The 18067-nt window shown below is 43.5% G+C and overlaps 1 long non-coding RNA gene and 1 pseudogene across 7 annotated transcripts in view; one reads left to right on the plus strand and one right to left on the minus strand.

Annotated features, from left to right (window-relative positions):
• Positions 1-18067, minus strand: part of LOC105376126 (uncharacterized) — a 103060-nt gene that overhangs the window by 60540 nt on the left and 24453 nt on the right. For 3 of the 7 annotated variants that reach the window (XR_007061642.1, XR_001746814.2, XR_001746811.2), the window contains 3 exons: positions 8941-9003; positions 4565-4781; positions 1101-1217 (listed from right to left, as the gene is read on the minus strand). This is a non-coding gene — a long non-coding RNA (uncharacterized LOC105376126). Of the gene's footprint in view, positions 1-1100; positions 1218-3048; positions 4782-8940; positions 9004-18067 lie in introns of those variants that run through there. The other 4 variants (XR_001746813.2, XR_007061641.1, XR_001746816.2 and 1 more) reach the window with 3 other exon arrangements.
• LOC124900285 (uncharacterized) lies at positions 3961-4096 on the plus strand (annotated as a pseudogene).

Consider the following 18067-nt stretch of genomic DNA (forward strand, 5'->3'; position numbering starts at 1 on the left):
TGCTTACCCACCCAGCCCCTCCAGCACTAAGGCTCCAGTTCTAAAAGCAGACTGGCTTCTAAGAGGACCCTGGCTCCATCAGTTAATATCTGTGTGATTGTAGGAGGTTAGTTAACCTCTCACTGCCTACATTCCCTACTCTGTAAAATGAGGATAATAAATAGTAACAAGTTACAGATTTGTCGTGGGGATTAAATGGAATAATGGATACAAAGGAAATTAGCATGGGAGCATCTAGGAAGCTCCAACGTTAACTACTAGTAACGTTGTGATTTTTAGTAACCACCCCATCTCTCCATTCAGTGAGAAAGGATCTATTTACCAGTACTTACAGCAGGGCAGAAGCTCATTAACACTCATTAACAGTGATAGTTCATGTTCAACCTTTCATCTCTAGTTGTGAAGTGAAAGGCTGTTTCCCCAGGTTCTATTTATTCAACAAGCATTGATTGAAAACTTAGTTTGTTGGGTATTATAAGGTATTCCCAGTACACAGAAGGTGCTCAGGAAATGTTTGACAGATGAATGAATGAAAGAATGAATGAATGAATGAATGAATGAATGAATGAATGAATCATGACCCTCCCACAGATGCCCCTCCTGGATACAACAGGACATTGGGGACAGAGAGGCTTGCTCATCCCTACACCCTCACCTCCCTCCAGCCCTGAGTCCTCTCCACTCCAGCCCAGGGCTGCCTGCCTGCAGAGCCACTGGCCTTAGACCTTCTCCTATTTCCTTGCTTGGCTTCTGACCAAGAAGTTCTGACAAAGAAGCAGTCATTAGAACACATCCTCTTTGTATTACTATGGTCAGGAGTTATAATGGATGTTCAAAAAGAAGGCATCTCACATGCATATGGAAAGTACCTTCACCCTTTACTCTAATCAAGGGCTTATTCTTATTTTATCCCGTGTAACAGAGCCATCTCTCAAACTTTAAGTACTGAGTAAGAAAATATTTTGTACAAGGCTGGCCTGGACCGTGATCAGGATGTGGCATGTGAACTTTGATGGACTCTGGGAATAGCCTAGCTCTGCCCACACCTCTATCTTACAGGGTGGACATATATTGTTTTTTTCCGTCAATATCTATTATACCTTGTTTTGGTGTCTTGGTCTTGCCTCCTCCTCTGGAAGCAGAACTTGGGTGGGGCCCCACCTCCAGTCTCATAAATGCAGCAAGTGTCACACGTCTAGACCATCAAGGCATTCAACCTACAAAAGCCACAGGGATGGTGGGGTGAGGGAAGGCACCTGCTCAGAATGAGTCCCAGGACTAGAACTACTGATTCTAGGAGGAAACATTCTCTTTTTACTTTAAAAAAAAATGCTTCACTCTATCACCCAGGCTGGAGTGCAGTGATGCTATCTTGGCTCACTGCAACCTCCACCTCCTGAGTTCAAGCTATTCTCATGCCTGGGCCTCCCGAATAGCTGGTATTACAGGTCTGTGCCACCATGCCCAGCTAATTTTTGTATTTTTAATAGAGACAGGGTTTCGCTATGTTGGCCAGGCTGGTCTCCAACTCCTGGCCTCAAGTGATCTGCCCGCCTCAGCCTCCCGAAGTGCCGGGATTACAGGCTCTTGTTTTAATATGAACTGGGGAAGAATGACCTTGAAGCTACTGAAAGGCCACAAGATAGTGTCTGAGAACAAAGCAAATATAGGAAAGAGAAATTTGAGCCACTGGAAAAGATAGCCTTGATTTCGTTGAGCCCCTGAATCAGCCTGTGCTTGAAGCCAGTTTCCTCTGATTTTTCGGCTCTGTGAGTACATAAATTCCTTTACCCTCTGCTTAAGCCATCAAGGTTGGGTTTTTATTTACAACCGAAAGAGTCCTATGATACCAACAGAAATTGTCCCAGTGCCCAAAGTTTCATATTATTTATTCCTTTGCATTAATGTGGAAAAATCAAGCTACAAGATTGCAAAGGTATTACCAGCCATCAGTTCAGGAGTTCTTGGTAATTTGATAACTATTACTGTAATTTATCTGGTAGTACCACAATCAGGCTCTAAGCACTCCAAGGATAGAACTCAAAACTGCGTTGAACAATACAGCCAAGTCCACCATGAAGTCCCATAACCCATGCCTTTAAGTGATCCCCTTCTAGTTCTGTGGGGAGCAATAACTCAGACACTGGAAACTTCTTAAATGTATAGGGCTTGCTCTAGGCTATGAATGGGTAGGATTGTAGAGGCAGAAGAAAGAGGAAAAATATTTATTTTGTTTGGCAAGCCTTTTGTTTCCAGTGATGTCCAGAGACAGTGTGGACCATAGAAGACCCCAGGATTCTCTTCCTTAGATTCAGTGACCTTTACTAGATTGTGTATGCATCACTTTTTCCGTGTCTTTATCCAAAGCCGGCAATTAGGTAGAGTTTTACCAGCCCATGAGCTTGAAATTTTTTTATTCAACCTATCAGTGATATTTATTGAGCACCTATCATGTACTAGATGCTGTCCAAGTTACTGATCACTGGAGTTTCAAAGATGAACGAGCACATTTCCTTCACCCAAGGAGATTAGAGTCCAGTGGGTCATGCAGACAACACCCAACGTAACTACATCAGGTACAATGAAGGCTATGACAGAGGTGAGCACACTGTGATGCCAAGCAATGGCAAGGAAACCTGCCCCAGGCTACTACATGGAAGCTGTGACTCAAGACAAGTGGAAGGTAGTTTTTGAGCAGAAAAATGGGCAAAAGGGGTTGCCAGAAGAGGAAATGGCACCAGCAAAGGAGCAGTGGTATAAGAAAAGTAAGGGCATTTATTGAACTGAATTCATTTGGTAAACTGGGCCCAGGTATGAGGGTGGGAAAGCGTGTGAAAAGAAGAAAACACGTCATCATAAAGGGCTCCTTCTGCCAAGGTAAGGACGGTGTTTGAATGGGGAAGTCTCCAGTGGCTCCACATTTGAGACAGAATAAAATCTAGAACTCTGGTATCCTTGGAAGGACCAGCAGGACATTATTTTTGCATTGCCACATCCTAGTAGCAAAGAGAACAAAATGTGTGATGAATGCAGAATCTGAAGATGGTATTTTTGTTCAAATAAGCTTTATTGTCCCTTATGTCCACTGTCCTGGTACCCTGGGTCCAGGAGACGTGAGGAGCCACAAATATCCCCATAGGAGTCCCGCACTGCACTCCACCTCCCAGCAGCCATAGGCAGATGAGAATCATTTTTCATCTGCTATGCAGTCATTTTGAAAGTAACATGATAGTCCCTCTGGGGGATGCACATGAAGCCAAAGTGAAACAGTCTTTTCCTTCTGACTGCGACTGCAGCATTTTCTTTCCCTGGCTCTCCTTCTTAGCATAAGCGTGGCTGAGTCTTTTGTCTTTTGTTCAAGACACCACACCTCAATCTTAGACTCCACAGTGTTCTTGTTGTTGCTTTGTTTGTTTGTTTTGATATGCATCTTCTCATAAAATGGGTCAGGTTCAAAAGGTACCGGCTCTTTTCCCACATCAGTGTCTGTCGTGGGTCCAATGTGCCCCAGGTGTGGCTTCGTCAACGTTCCGTTTACACATGATTCTCATTACAGGATCCCCAAGGGCTGTGAAAACATTTTCTTGAGCCTCCCCCAAACAGCCACAACTAGGAATTGGCAAACACCAATTGAAATGCACCATTTTAAATGTATTATGGGCAGTCAGTCCCCCACCCTGACGTGTACTCAACTCCACACATCCTCATTGCCTGCCTGTCCGGGACCCCAGGTCACCTCTTAGCTCCTCATGTTCCTCGAGCCCCCGGTATCCCCTTGGCCAGGCCCCAGATGTTTGGATTGCAGGCACAGGAGCGCCAGTAGCAGAAGGGACCATGCCAACGGGAGGACCCATCAGGCCTCCAAGGCCACATCATCATTCCATTCGCCGGCTCATGCGTCAACTTACATGACTTCTATGTGGTTATTTAGCCTTTTAAAAATACTTTTCACCCTTTCCTGTGCCCTTTTAAGGTAGACGCAGTTTCGTAAGAGGCTAACACATAAGGGTAAATTAAAGTAAGTCTCCATAAAACCCAGAGAAGAGACAGAAGAGACTGTGAAACTCCTCTTTGGACCCCATCTGGAGCCACAGCAAAAAAAAAAAAAAAAAAAAATAGTTTTACTTGCTAATCCTTTAGCTAAAAGCAATTCATAGAAGAGAATTGACAAGCTCACTAAGGGAGAGAGAAGTAGCTTGTACAAAGACTGTGCCTCAGTTTCCCCATTTGTAAAATTAAGGATTAGACGTGATAATCCCTCAGCTACCTCCATCAGTGAAATATGATGATTTACTGAATACGGGCCATTTTTTAAATGAAATAAAATTGTGAATTTAAATTTATTAGTAATAACATTCTGTTTTTTTATGAAGTAGATAATGACAAACCAAAATATCTCATTTGTTATCAACAAAAATAAATCACCTTTAGAGTGGGGATGAAGGGCAAAAACTTTAGTCATGTATAGTACATGGAATAGGGATCAAGGTGATGTATATTTGGGGGAACCATTTTAAAGAATCGAGCATGAAAAGTATTCTTACAAAAGGCAAATGCGGGCTACCTGATATAGTCACCTCCTTTTCTGATTCCAGAGGTCTGAAAGCAGCCTCAGCAGCAAGCCACAGCAGACGCGAAACGGGGAAGAGCAATGGCATCGCTGGTGATCAAAGGCCTGGCCGAGCTACCCCAGGCTCCATACCATCTCCGGAGATGCCTGGCTTGGGGAAGGTCCTTGGTAAGAGAAGCAGTTCTCAGCCTCTTTCTCCGGTCAAGCTCCTCTACAGAAACAGAAAGGAGAATAAAACAGGGGCTCAATATGGATCCCAGTTACATGAGCTTATATCCCAGCTGGGTTTTTTAACTGACAAATGAAAATGTATATAAATGTATGGTGTAAAACCAATATGTGGCTGGTCATGGTGGCTCACACGTGTAATCCCAGCACTTTGGGAGGCCAAGCAGGCGGATCTGTTGAGCCCAGGAGTTGGAGAAACATGGGCTGGGCAACATGGCGAACGAAACCCTGCCTCAAAAAAAAAAAAAAAAATTACCCAGGCATGGTGGTGCAAACCTGTAGTCCCTGCTACTGGGGAAGCTGAGGTGGGAGGACCTCCTGAGCCCAGGAGATAAAGGCTGCAATGTGCTGTGATCACACCACTGCACTCTATCCTAGGCAACAGAGTGAGACCCTGTCTCAAAAAACAAAAAAAAAAAAATGATTTTTTCACATATGTATACATCCTGGAATGACTAAGTCAAGCTAATCAGTATATCTATCACCTCAAATACTTATGTATTTTTTTTTAGTGGCGAGAACATTCTTAGCAATTTTCAGGTATACAATGCATTATTATTAACTATAGTCACCATGTTGTATAATAGATCTCTAGAGCTTATTCCTGTTAACTGAAATTTTGTACCCTGTAACCAACATCTCCCCATTCTCCACACACAACTGTCAGCCCTGAGTAACCACAATTCTTCTTTCTGCTTCTATGTATCTAATTTGTTTAGATTTCACATAAGTAAGATCATGTGGTATTTTTCTTTCTGTGCCTGGCTTATTTCACTTAGCACAATGTCCTCCAGGTTCATCCATGTTGTTGCAAATGACAGTATTTCCTTCTTTTTGTGGGTGAATCATATTTGATTGTGTATATTTATCATATTTTCTTTATCCAACCATCCATTGGAGTATGCTTAGGTTGGTTCCTACAGTGAATAACACTGCAATGAACATAGGAGTGCAGGTATCTCTTTTAAATCCTGATTTCATCAAAACCACAATGAGAGACCATCTCACACCAGTCAGAATGGCGATATTAAAAAGTCAAGAAACAAGAGATGCTGGCGAGGCTGTGGAGAAATAGGAATGCCTTTACACTGTTGGTGGGAATGTAAATTAGTTCAACCATTGTGGAAGACAGTGTGGCAATTCCTCAAAGACCTAGAACCAGAAACACCATTTGACCCAGCAATCCCATTACTGGGTATATACCCAAAGGAATATAAATCACTCTGTTAAAAAGATATTATGCACACGTATGTTCATTGCAATCCTATTCACAATAGCAAAGACATAAATCAACCCAAATGCCCATCAATGATAGACTGAATAAAGAAAATGTAGTACATATACACCATGGAATACTATGCAGCCATAAAACAGAATGAGATCATGTCCTTTGCAGGGACATGGATGGAGCTGGAAGTCATTATCCTCAGCAAACTAACACAGGAACAGAAAATCAAACACTGCATGTTTTCGCTTATAAGTGAGAGCTGAACAATGAGAATACATGGACACAGGGAGGGGAACAACACACATTGGGGCCTGCTGGGGAGGGGGGTCAGGGGAGGGAGAGCATTAGGAAAAATAGCTTATGGACGCTGGGCTTAAAACGTAGGTGATGGGTTGATAGGTGCAGCAAACCACCATGGCACACGTTTACCTGTGTAACAAACCTGCACATCCTGCACATGTATCCCCAGAACTTAAAATAAAATAAATAAAATAACATAACATAAACAAAAGGCATTCAATTAAATTAAATTACACTTTGTCCTAGAAAAAATAAACAAATACTGTAAATAAATGATTTTCTATTTCATATGAAAAAAAATCCTGATTTCATTTCCTTTGGAGTAGACAAGTTTAATCTTGGCCTTTGAGGAGGGCTGATTTTGCAGAGGAGATGGGAGAAGATGATTCAGAGATAACAGAAATCAGATTGGTTGGCAGCAATAAGGTTCTGAAAAAGTAATTCTGAGGCCCAGGATGCCACTCAGGGGCTGACGGGATGGGGAATTGGGTCTAGAATTCAAGGAATCTAGGCATGGTTTTACGGTCCTGGTTCCAACAAGAAACTGGATTGCCAACTGTGAACCCCAGCCTCCTCTCCACAGGCAAGTGGGCAGGGCCTGCTGAATGGCGGCTGGGCTCCAGAACCGGATGGTGGTATCAGCCCTTCAAGCTAAGAGGAGCTGAGGAAGAAAAGTCTGCCCCCTTGCGGTCCCCTTTCCCTGCCTGTTTCTACTCCGTTCCTTTTGGGACCCTTGGCTGTCTTGCCAGTCAGCTGTCCTGCTCCCACCTGGGAACCTGGGATCTCACTTAGTCAGCCTGAGCTTGCCCTCGCCTGTCCCGGCCATGGCACATTATACAGCCATAGGAAGGCTGCTGCGTCGTTGTTGACCCCTGGGATCCAGCCCTGCCTCCAGTGCCCAGCCACCATCTTACAAAAACCATGCGATCCGTAAAGCATGGGGACCTGCTGACAAAATACCAACTTCAGATACACTATCTTCTTTTAGTCATTTTTGAACATGTTTGACATAACCAGTGGAGACTTTAAAGATGGTTTTCCAAACACCGCATGTTTTCACTCATAGGTGGGAATTAAACAATGAGAACACATGGACACAGGAAGGGGAACATCACATACCAGGGCCTGTTGTGGGGTGGGGGTAGGGATAGCATTAGGAGATATACCTAATGTTAAATGACGAGTTAATGGGTGCAGCACACCAACATGGCACATGTATACATATGTAACAAACCTGCATGTTGTGCACATGTACCCTAAAACTTAAAGTATAATTAAAAAAAAAAAAAGATGGTTTTCATGGGTTATGTCCAAATGAGTGCAGCGACAAGCCATCCAGTGTCTGGCACTTTGGAAAGCCTTCGACCATTGACTGGGTACAAGGCAGTCATTCGTAATCCACATCCACACTCAATCCTGAAAAATAGACTTTCAAGTCCTTAGACCCCTGACTCCCAATTCTAACATCACACTAGCTCTGCCTGCTCCTGGGCTTCATGTCCTTTAGAGAATCCAGATCTCTTCTCTCTAGTCAGCTCAGATAGGAAAGCATTAAAGGCCAAGAATTTTCCAGGCCACATCCATATTCTGAGGCTCTACACTCACACACACACAGAAAAGGATTACTAAATTGGGGTTAAAAATTGAGGTTAAAATACTTGCATCAAACAAGTTAAATTTTTTTTTTTTTTTTTTTTTTTTTTTGGTGACGGAGTGTCACTCTGTCACCCAGACTAGAGTGCAGTGGCATGCTCTTGGCTCACTGCAACCTCTGCCTCCTGAGTTCAAGTGATTCTGCTGCCTCAGCCTCCCTAGTAGCTGGGTTTACAGGTACCCGCCACCACGCCTGGCTAATTTTTGTATTTTTAGTAGAGACAGGGTTTCACCATGTTGGTCAGGCTGGTCTTGAACTCCTGACCTCAGGTGATCTGCCCGCTTCAGCCTCCCAAAGTGCTGGGATTGCAGGCATGAGCCACCCCATCCGGCCAGAAGTTAATTTTTTTTTTTTTTTTTTTTTTTGAGACAGAGTATCACTCTGTTGCCCAGGCTGGAGTGCAATGGCATGATCTCAGCTCACTGCAATCTCCACCTCTCGGGTTCAAGCAATTCTCCTGCCTCAGCCTCCCGAGTAGCTGGGACTACAGGCGCCACCACGCCTGGCTAATTTTTGTATTTTTAGTAGAGACGGGGTTTCACCATATTGGCCAGGCTGGTCTCAAACTCCTGGCCTTGTGATCCACCCACCTGGGCCTCCCAAAGTACTAGGATTACAAGCATGAGCCACCATGCCCAGCCACAAGTTAATATTTTTAATGCAAAAAAGCATGACGCAATATAATTGTGTCACTCACCACATGGAAGATTAGTTTAAAACATGAATTTGTAGGTGTATGATCTGGGAGGGGATACAGGTTTTTAATTGTATAATAGATATTATTATCTTTCAATCATTTAGACTAATAATTTCACTTGGATATGAACCCAAGGGGTACAGTTGAAGGCCGTTTGTGAAGGCCATGGTTGGAGTGACCCCCTGATCCCCATAAAGGCTGGATTCTGCATTATATGAGCTTATCTCTTCAAAAGCAAACCCCTCCTCAACTTTTCAAATTACCCCTGTGAGGTTGAAGATGCTTAGACATAATCCAGTCCCAATGATTGACACCAGCAGAAGTACCTACGGGGAATGAAAACACAAAATGTATTCAGTTTGATTCCTGTATGCATCCCTGTCCCTCTCTCATGCTGGCCATGACTAGATTTCTAACTTAATATTTCCAAAATAATGAAGGTCTTAGTGGGGATGGAACAATGATGAGGAGGAGAAAAGGAAAAGTCCAGGTAACAAAGGTCATTCTGGCTCCTAAGTGACCAGCAGGAAGGAAGTTCTCCCATCTTCTTCTGATCCTTCCAGGCTCCCTGCTGAAGGCGTCCTGTAGGAAAATGTCACTTAAGAAGTTGAAGCACAAGCAATACCGACGTTTGCCAGACTTCCCACTCAGCTTCCAACTGCAAGCAATTGACCATTCGCGTGAACAACGACAGGGCTTCCTAGGCTTCCCAGGCTTCTTAGCGTGGCCTCTTATGTTGATGAGATTCCTCCACTCATAAGTCTCTAGGGAAAGCAGGGCCCCTTCCTCCTACCAAGATGAAAAAGTCTTGCTATTCATCTCCCCAACCCTCCCAGCAGCTAGGACATGGCCACATGCTTTAAAGGTGGTCGACAAACAGTACCCACCCAGCACTTTGAATCTTGAAGGAGTAACATCCAGGCTAAAGTTCAATTAAAGTTACTCACAGTGGCCTCAGAGATACAAGCAGTGCTGTGGAGAAGGGCCACTGCTGGCAATGCCAGAGGGCAAGCTTACGGAGGCCGTCCCTCCAGTGGGACTGTGGCTCTGTGTCCTTGCACCCCACAGAGGCCCCTTCTTCAGCCTTCCTCTCAAGTGCATGATTCCCTGATAACCTTTACATTAATATTCCTTCTCTTTAAATTAAACACAGTACACTTCTGTTGTTTGCAACCAAGAATACAGACACAGATACAAATAAAATACAAATTATGTTGGAATCAGCTGATTTCCTGCCCCTTTTTTGTTGGCATCAAGAGGGGCCACATGTCACATGTCTTGCTTTAGTGCAAGAAATGGGAGTAGAAATGACCATGTGTCACTTCTGGGCAGAAGTTTTGAGAACCAGCCTACAGTTTGCTCTGTCTCGTTTCCTTCTGCCACAGATCACCATGTTTCAGATACACCAGGGATCAGCCAATTTGCTCTGTAAAAGGTCAGAAAGTAAAGATTATCTTCATTGTGGGCCATACTGCCTCTATTATGACAACTTAATCCTGTTGTGGTGGTGTGAAAACGGTACATAAACAAATAACCATGTCTATCTTTCAATAAAACCTGATTAACAAAGACAATAGCAGGCCAGATTCTGCCACAGCTCACAATTTCCCAACCCTGAAATTGAGAGAGTTCTGTCCACCTCAGTCCTAGAGTAAAGAGATAAGCAGCAGAAACTCAGCAACTTCCAACACACATATAGCAGGAGTGAAAAATCCAACTTTGTGTTTGAAAATCACTAAGCTTTGGGGGTCATTTGTTACCACAATGTAACTCAGCCTATGCTGACTGATACATGAGTACGAAAAGATAATCTCCATGCAAGTAAACAAAAATTGATTTTTGTATGATTTGATGAGGTTAGATCTACAAGAGGTGGGGAAAACTTCTTTACCTCTCAAGGTCAAAAAGCAAAAATAAATTCTTTTTCTTTCTGTGATACAGTTTCACATCAACCACTGGTGCCTGTAACCCCATGACCCTTATCATTACAGAGCAGCAGTTTTGTTCTGTCTCATGAACACTGGAACAGAAGCCCAGAGGACTGGACTCCAGTTCTCAACTCACTTCGAATTAGTTGTTTAACTCTGAACTGCTCACATTCCACTCCCAGTCTCAATTTCCGCATGTGCAAAACAAAAAGCTGTGCCAGCCCACAGCATCGTCTTCAACCTCTCCTACTTAGGGCTTTCCTAAGAGCACTGTTTACTGATGACTGACAGCAACAAGAGGTTCAAAAATGACAATGAGTAATCAAAAGCCTCTTTTGAAATGGATCCCGTTTGCTGGGATGTGGATGTTGAGCAAAGACACAGCTCTTCGGAAAGTGGGGAACATTTTCCAGGCCCACAAGAAGCAGCGTGATAGAGCCAGTGGAACAGAGCCGTGGGGATGAAACTGAGTTTTGTGCCCATGTTTCTCTGTATCCCTACTGAAAATTTAACACTCAGCCGTTTCATCACTCTTGGCCTCGGGAAGAAATTCCTTCATGCTCCTTGGTTGTTTCCAATGAATGTTCTCATCTCAGATCAAGGCTAAATGCAGAAAAGGGGGACCACTCACTTCTTTCTTTACTTTGATGCCCACAAGGGGTTGAGGAGCTTCTCAGAGCCAACAGTGCGTGTGCCAGACCCAGCCCAGCATCTGGTGCCCGTGGGATCTGTGCATGTGAGATCCCAATTTAATCCCCATGCCAGAGGCTTAATCCCTGAACTCTGAATCAGTCCTTGGCAGAGAGAAGGCTCTTGGCCGACTTGTAAATTTCCATCCTTCAAGCCACCTCAGGCCAATCAACAGCTCAACAACCTCCTGCGTTCCTCAGGGAGCCTCTACACAGCCCCACCCGCACCTCCAGGTTGAGACACTCAGTCATGGAAGGGCGGAAGAGAGGGGGCGTCAAAACCCTCATCTGCTCCAAAACTCTGTCCTAGCCACCTGGCCCCTGACTGAAAAAAAATTGGCCAAACCCTAGTCTGCAGTATTCTCTACCACAGGCAATCTTGGGTTACATCAACCCATCAGTAGCTCTGAAAATATTGTCAGGCTACTCTTCAGGCTAAGTAACAGGGAGCAAGACCCTAAAGATTATGGGACAAGTTGAATGAGTATGTGCCTGTGTCTGCACATGGCAGATTATGTGCATGAATTAGGAATGGAGCCTGCGACAAGAAAGCTGAAAAAACTTGAAGATGTAACAGGTTTGAGCAAAGCATTTTAAGGGAGGATCTGGAAAGGCAGTAAGCAGATAGTAGGGGAATACTGAGCCCTGGGGAGAAAAAAAAACAAAAACCTCTATGATCACTGATATTATTATTTGAGTAGGCAAAGTATTTTCACATACATATTCTCTCATTTAACTTCCCTTCAGAAACCACAAGACGTATATGAAAATGTAAACTTTCTATCAGAGGAACCCATGCTCTGAAACGGCTCACCCAAGGTGACTTGTGAATGGGACTAGGGCCCATTTCTTCTATATCTTTTGTTTTGTTTTGTTTTGTTGTGAGACAGAGTCTTACTCTGTCACCCAGGCTGGAGTGCAGTGGTGCTATCTCGGCTCACTCTAACCTCCACCTCCCGTGTTCAAGCGATTCTCCTGCCTCAGGGGCCCGAGTAGCTGGGACTACAGGCATGTGCCACCACGCCGGGCTAATTTTAGTATTTTTCGTAGAGACAGGATTTCACCATGTTTGTCAGGCTGGTCTCGAACTCCTACCTCAGGTGATCCACCTGCCTCGGCCTACCAAAGTGCTGGGATTGCAGGCGTGAGCCACCACACTCGGCCCCATTTCTTCTACTTCTGAGTCCAGTGCTCTTTTTCCCGGGACACTGAGACTTAGTTCAAGATTTGCCTGGGGCTAAACACACACCAGAGGTGGACATGCCCTATGACAAAGGAACACATGGCCTCTCAGTGCCTGATTGGGAACCCAGCTGCCAGCCGTCACAGTGCCAAGATGGGGCAAGGGGAGGGCAGGCTGGAGCCTGGTACCCGCTCATCCCCAGCACTCCTGCCACACCTGGAACCACATCAAGCCCCGACAGCCTCAAACGCAGTGCCCTGGGGCCTTGACTTCATTTGTTTCTCACTTCGTATCAACAGTCAAGATTTAAAATTATAATAATAATCAAAATCATTGAGTCCCTCTGATGGCAGGACACCTGATGTACACTGGGCATTTTACATGAGATATTTAAAATAATTCTAACCACCCTTTGGGGCTGTTACTGCATCTTCTTTTTGTAAGAACACTGAGGCTCAGAGAGGTTAAGTGGTTTGCCTAAAGTCCCCCTGGGGACCTGCTGAGGATGCAGGCCAGCTGTGACCAGTGCTCCTCACAGCAGCACCACCACACCCCAGGGCCAACTGAGACACAAACATCAGTGTCCACAGGGGCCACGGAGGGAGGGAAAATTGTTACCAGAAAAAAGAGAGAGCACAACACCCACATCACTGCATAGACAGGGCTGCGACCTGGCCACAGTAACCTGGAAAACCTTGCAGCTGTGGGAGAATGGTGAGGAAGGAAGTTAGGCTTTCCTTCCTGAACCCCAAACCTTTCCTCGCCTCCTTTTCTCTGTTTACGAAATCTGTCTTTGATTACTAATCAACAGCATTTTCATTATTAACATAACTCTCTAGTACACGTGAACCATGCTATAATTAAACAGAATTTATGTTCAGTAGATTTATAAAAGTCAAAGAATAATGGAAGAGAGATTTGAGTGTGAAAGTGTGAAACGCAAACAATAGGAGAGAAAGTTGTAAAGCAAAACATATGACATTCCTTCTGCATTTTTCTCTTGATTCCCAAGCCTTAAACCAACATTATGTGCATGAAAAAATCATGATTGATTCTGGAAAATATTTTTTTAGGGCTCATTATTTTCCATCGAATCTCTTATGGGTAAGTTTTAAAATTTAGAATAAAAACCTAAATCCTTTGAATTTTCCATATAGCTTTTATTTTTTACCTCCAGCCCTAATCAAGTAGAACACATTATGTTTCCCCTATAGAAAAAGGTCTCTCTCATTCTTAAGCAGATTTGAAAGAAATTGTAAACCAATCCAGTCTCAACACTGCCGATACATCTGGCAAGGCAATCAGAGTCAACACAGACCACAGAAGCCCAGGCCGGCGCTGGATGTGAGCTGCAAGGATGAGGATGAGGACAAGAAGGGGAGGAATTTCACGTGCTTTTCTTTGTACTTGCCCAGAGTGAATGCCCGTCTCCTCCACTCTACTCTGAGCCCGAAGGGAGATCTCAGACACACAAAAGAGAATTCGACACTAGGAAAGTTTCTGTGTATTTCTTAGCAGTATTTTTCTAAGCATACGTTATGACGTACACCCTGGGTAGTGACTGTCTCCCCACGCGTGTGTGTGTGTGTGTGTGCCCACACACTCATCCTGACCACGGACTCTCCCCTCCTTTCACGACATCAACCTGCTGTGCCCCATTATCTCTGGCCTTTGTGGCTTAGAAGGTCAGAGACACTGTTCCCTGGATAAGATCCAGAAAAGGAAGGAAGCGGAAACAAAAATGTTTTTGCAGTGAAGTGACCTGATTACACGCAGAGTGACTATTTCTAAGCCATCCTATAACTACCCCCATTCAGCACTGGAACCAAGCCACAAAAGCAGCAGAGGCCTCCCCCAGTGCCGTTACTGGCTTGGTGAAAACTGCGACTGCAAATGACAAAGCTGGTCTTTATTCCTGAGTGATTGTGAGTGCGGTGGGGATGAAGAGTTTGGAGGGATAGGGACAGCTTTGCGGTGGCCAAGGGGCTTCCCCTCAGGTGAGTGCAGTTAAGGACAACTGTGGGTTCTGCACCAAAACATCAGGGTTGAAGTCTCGGTTTCACCATCTGCAAGCTGCATGACGTTAGATACGATTCATTAAAGCCTCTATGTCTCAGTATTCTTATCTGTAAAATGGGTGATTATGAATTGGTTGTAATGAAGTAAGTGAAGTGCCAGAAGGTAACAGTAGCTATTGTTATTGTATGGGGTCCTTACTAAGACCCACAACGCCCTTACCTCTCCCTCCCTCCAGAACATACGATTTTGCTCACAGGGTTCATCCTGGTCACTGATCTATTTCTCAAACATTCTATTTCTCACCAGGTCTCCATCCACCTTATCCCTCTTCCCTGGAGCGTATCCGTGGTCTCCTCAGAGGCCTTGTTAGCTCACCAACACCACCCCCACCCCAAAATGCTCAGCACTGCATTATCCTGAGGGTTTCCCACAGAACACTGGTCATTGTCTGAAACTGTTCACTTTAAAAAAAAAATACTCATTTATGCTCAGTATCTCCCACTTAGAGTGACCTACTTATCCCAGTTTGCCCGGGGCTCTCCCAGTTTGGGCAGGAAGCCCCTCGGTCCAGAGCAATCCAGGACAGCGGCTCACCCCAGAGCCCAGGAGAAGGCCAGGGCAGAGGCCACCTTCTTCACTCCGTGTCTTCAGCACTAGAGAAGGCCCGACTCACAGCAGGAGCCCAAAACACAGGGAATGGAGGAAGAAAGGCATTAATATTTTTCTAAGAATTGTAATTAAATCAGTCTATCCAATCATGAGAGACTCACACCTCCTCTGATTTCTAATCTACAAAGCAGAGAGAATAAAAGTGGAAGTTACCAGGGTTGTAGATTTTTTTAGCTAGACAGAGCTTTGCTGGAAGGATGAGCCCAGACCACGCCTCTTACCCTACCGGGGTGGGGGAAATTAAGGTCCACAGCCTGATGGTCATTGCTAAGGTCATCAGCTGGTATGTAGCAGAAACAAGATCTCTCAGGATACAACTTACTGAGAAGTATTGTATGAACTGTAAAGCAATACTTTGACATTAAGGTATTTACATTATTCTTTACTTGTAAATTTATGATCATTTTATCTCAGCAGGAATCCAGAACAAACTAGCCTTCATCTAAAGAATTATGATTTATCTAGAACTCTTGAGTTATATTAAACTGAAGCACTACCCCCATCCAAGTTCCTAATCAATTCAAATTGCTTAAATGTTTACATATTTTCAATTCCTTTTTTATAAACTCAGCTTAACCACTTCCTAAGACATTGCCACTTTTTGTCACATGTAGTTCTTTGAAACCAAAGAAGTAGCAACTAAAGATAAAATCGTCAATGGACAAAAATCACCGATACCCACAGTCAGCAAGGTCTCAATGCAAATTTGTTGGCTGCTTAAAAGGACCAGAAGCACTAGACAAAAGCATACACTCCCAATATGAGTTTTCAAGGTTTTGTTATCTGATATTTTATATGGTCAGCCAGATCAACAGTGGTCCTTGTTCACATAGAGTATCTCAGATGACAGATGGATATAAATTCATCCCCATTCATGCTAAGATCTAAATTCTATACATGCAGATAAAAGAAAGATATCTTGGAAGAAATTTTAACCTGATGTGAAATATAGCACTTATTAACCATCATTCTAATCATCTCTAGTAGATATTTAGACAGCATTTAGCAATTTGCAATAGGAGTTCAGAAATTATCTTGTTTGAACTCAAATGCAAATCAGTGGGAGCAAAATGATGAGAACTTATGAATGCAAAGAAGGAAACAACAGACCCTGTAATTAGTCAATTAGTTGACTAATTACGGAAGTTTTCATCGCTAGGAAGTACCTAAGTCATCGGAGATTATTTTCATTTCTAATCAACCTTCAAGTGACACTGAAGTTCCTAATACATTGTTTATTTATTTATTTTAAACTGAGACAGAGTCTCGCTCTGTTTCCAGGGCTGGAGTGCAATGTCCAATGACCCTCCTTGAAGGTGGAGGGTGGGAGGAGGGAGAGGAGCAGGAAAGATAACTATTGGGTACTGGGCTTAATTCTTCGGTGATGAAATAATCTGTATATCAGACCCTCATTATATGAGTTTACCTATGTAACAAACCTTTCAATGTACCCCAAAACCTAAAATAAAAGTTAAAAACAAACAAAAAAGAAATGGTACAACCATTGTGGAAAACAGTACGGTGGTTTCTCATACGGTTAAAAATTGAGTTGCCATATGATATGGAAGTGCTACTTCTGGGTATATCCCCAAAAGAATAGAAAGCAGGGCCTCAAAGAGATATCTGTACACCCACGTTCATGGCAGCATTCTTCGCAATAGCCGAAACATGGAAGCAATCCAAGCGTGCACTGACAGATGAATAGATAAGCAAAATGCAGTGTAGATATACCACAATGGAATATTGTATTAACCAGTCTTAAAAGGAAGGAAATTCTGACACAGCTTATAGCATAGATGAACCTAAATGAAAAGAACCAGTCACAGAAAGCAAATCCAGTATGCTTCCATTTATACCTGGTACCTAGAAGAGTTAAAATCAGAGAGGCAGAAAGGAGAATGGCGGTCGCTAGGGGCTTGAAGCAGGGACAAATGGGGAGTTACTATTTCATGAGTGTGGAGTTTCTGTTTTACACGATGAAAAGTGTCCTGAAGATGGATGGAGGTAATGGATGCACAACTTGATGAATGTGTTTAATACCACTGGATTCTACACTTAAAAATGGTTAGGAGGGCCAATTTTATGTTATATGTATTCTTCCACAATAAAAAAAATAACAAATTAAAGAAAAAGCAGAGAGGCAGAGTTGACTAACTACAGGAGTTTTCATAGCTGGGAAGTACCTAAGTCATCAGAAATGATTTTCATTTCTAATCAACCTTCAAGTGACACTGAAGTTCCTAATACTTTATTTATTTATTTGTTTGTTTGTTTGTTTGTTTTTTAATTGAGATGGAGTCTCGCTCTGTCACCCAGGCTGGAGTGCAACGCCCACTGCCCGGGTTCAAGCAATTCTCTTGCCTAAGCATCCCTAGTAGCTGGGACCACAGGCATGCGCCACCACGCCCGGCTAATTTTTTTGTATTTTTAGTAGAGATGGGGTTTTGCCAGGCTGGTCTCAAACTCCTGACCTCAGGTGATCCACCCCCCTCGGCCTCCCAATGTGCTGGGATGAGCCACTGCTCCTGGCCTGAAGTTCCTAATACTTTAAATTACTCTTCCCCTACTGATGATCTGTAAATAAGGTATTTTAAAAGAACAAAGTTCACTGTGTGAAAAAAAAATTGAGGAAATAAGCTGACTTTCCCAAGTTTACCCAGCTACAATGGTGGGGAGTGGAATCTGAAGTCAAGCGTGTGTGTAGTACACAAATGTGCCTTTTATTTTCCAATTTTCTATTATCAGCACTGCTTTGGGAAGAAGATAGAGGAAAGAGAAGAAAAGACCCTCAGACCAATGTATACTTCTTTCACAAAACACACACCCAATGCAAATTACACAGTATAGTTAGCTGAGGGGCATAATTTGTCACACAAATAAACAAACACTATTTGGTTCCGTC

Source organism: Homo sapiens, chromosome 9, assembly GCF_000001405.40.
Source record: "Homo sapiens chromosome 9, GRCh38.p14 Primary Assembly".
In the NCBI taxonomy this organism is placed as follows: Eukaryota; Metazoa; Chordata; class Mammalia; order Primates; family Hominidae; genus Homo; species Homo sapiens.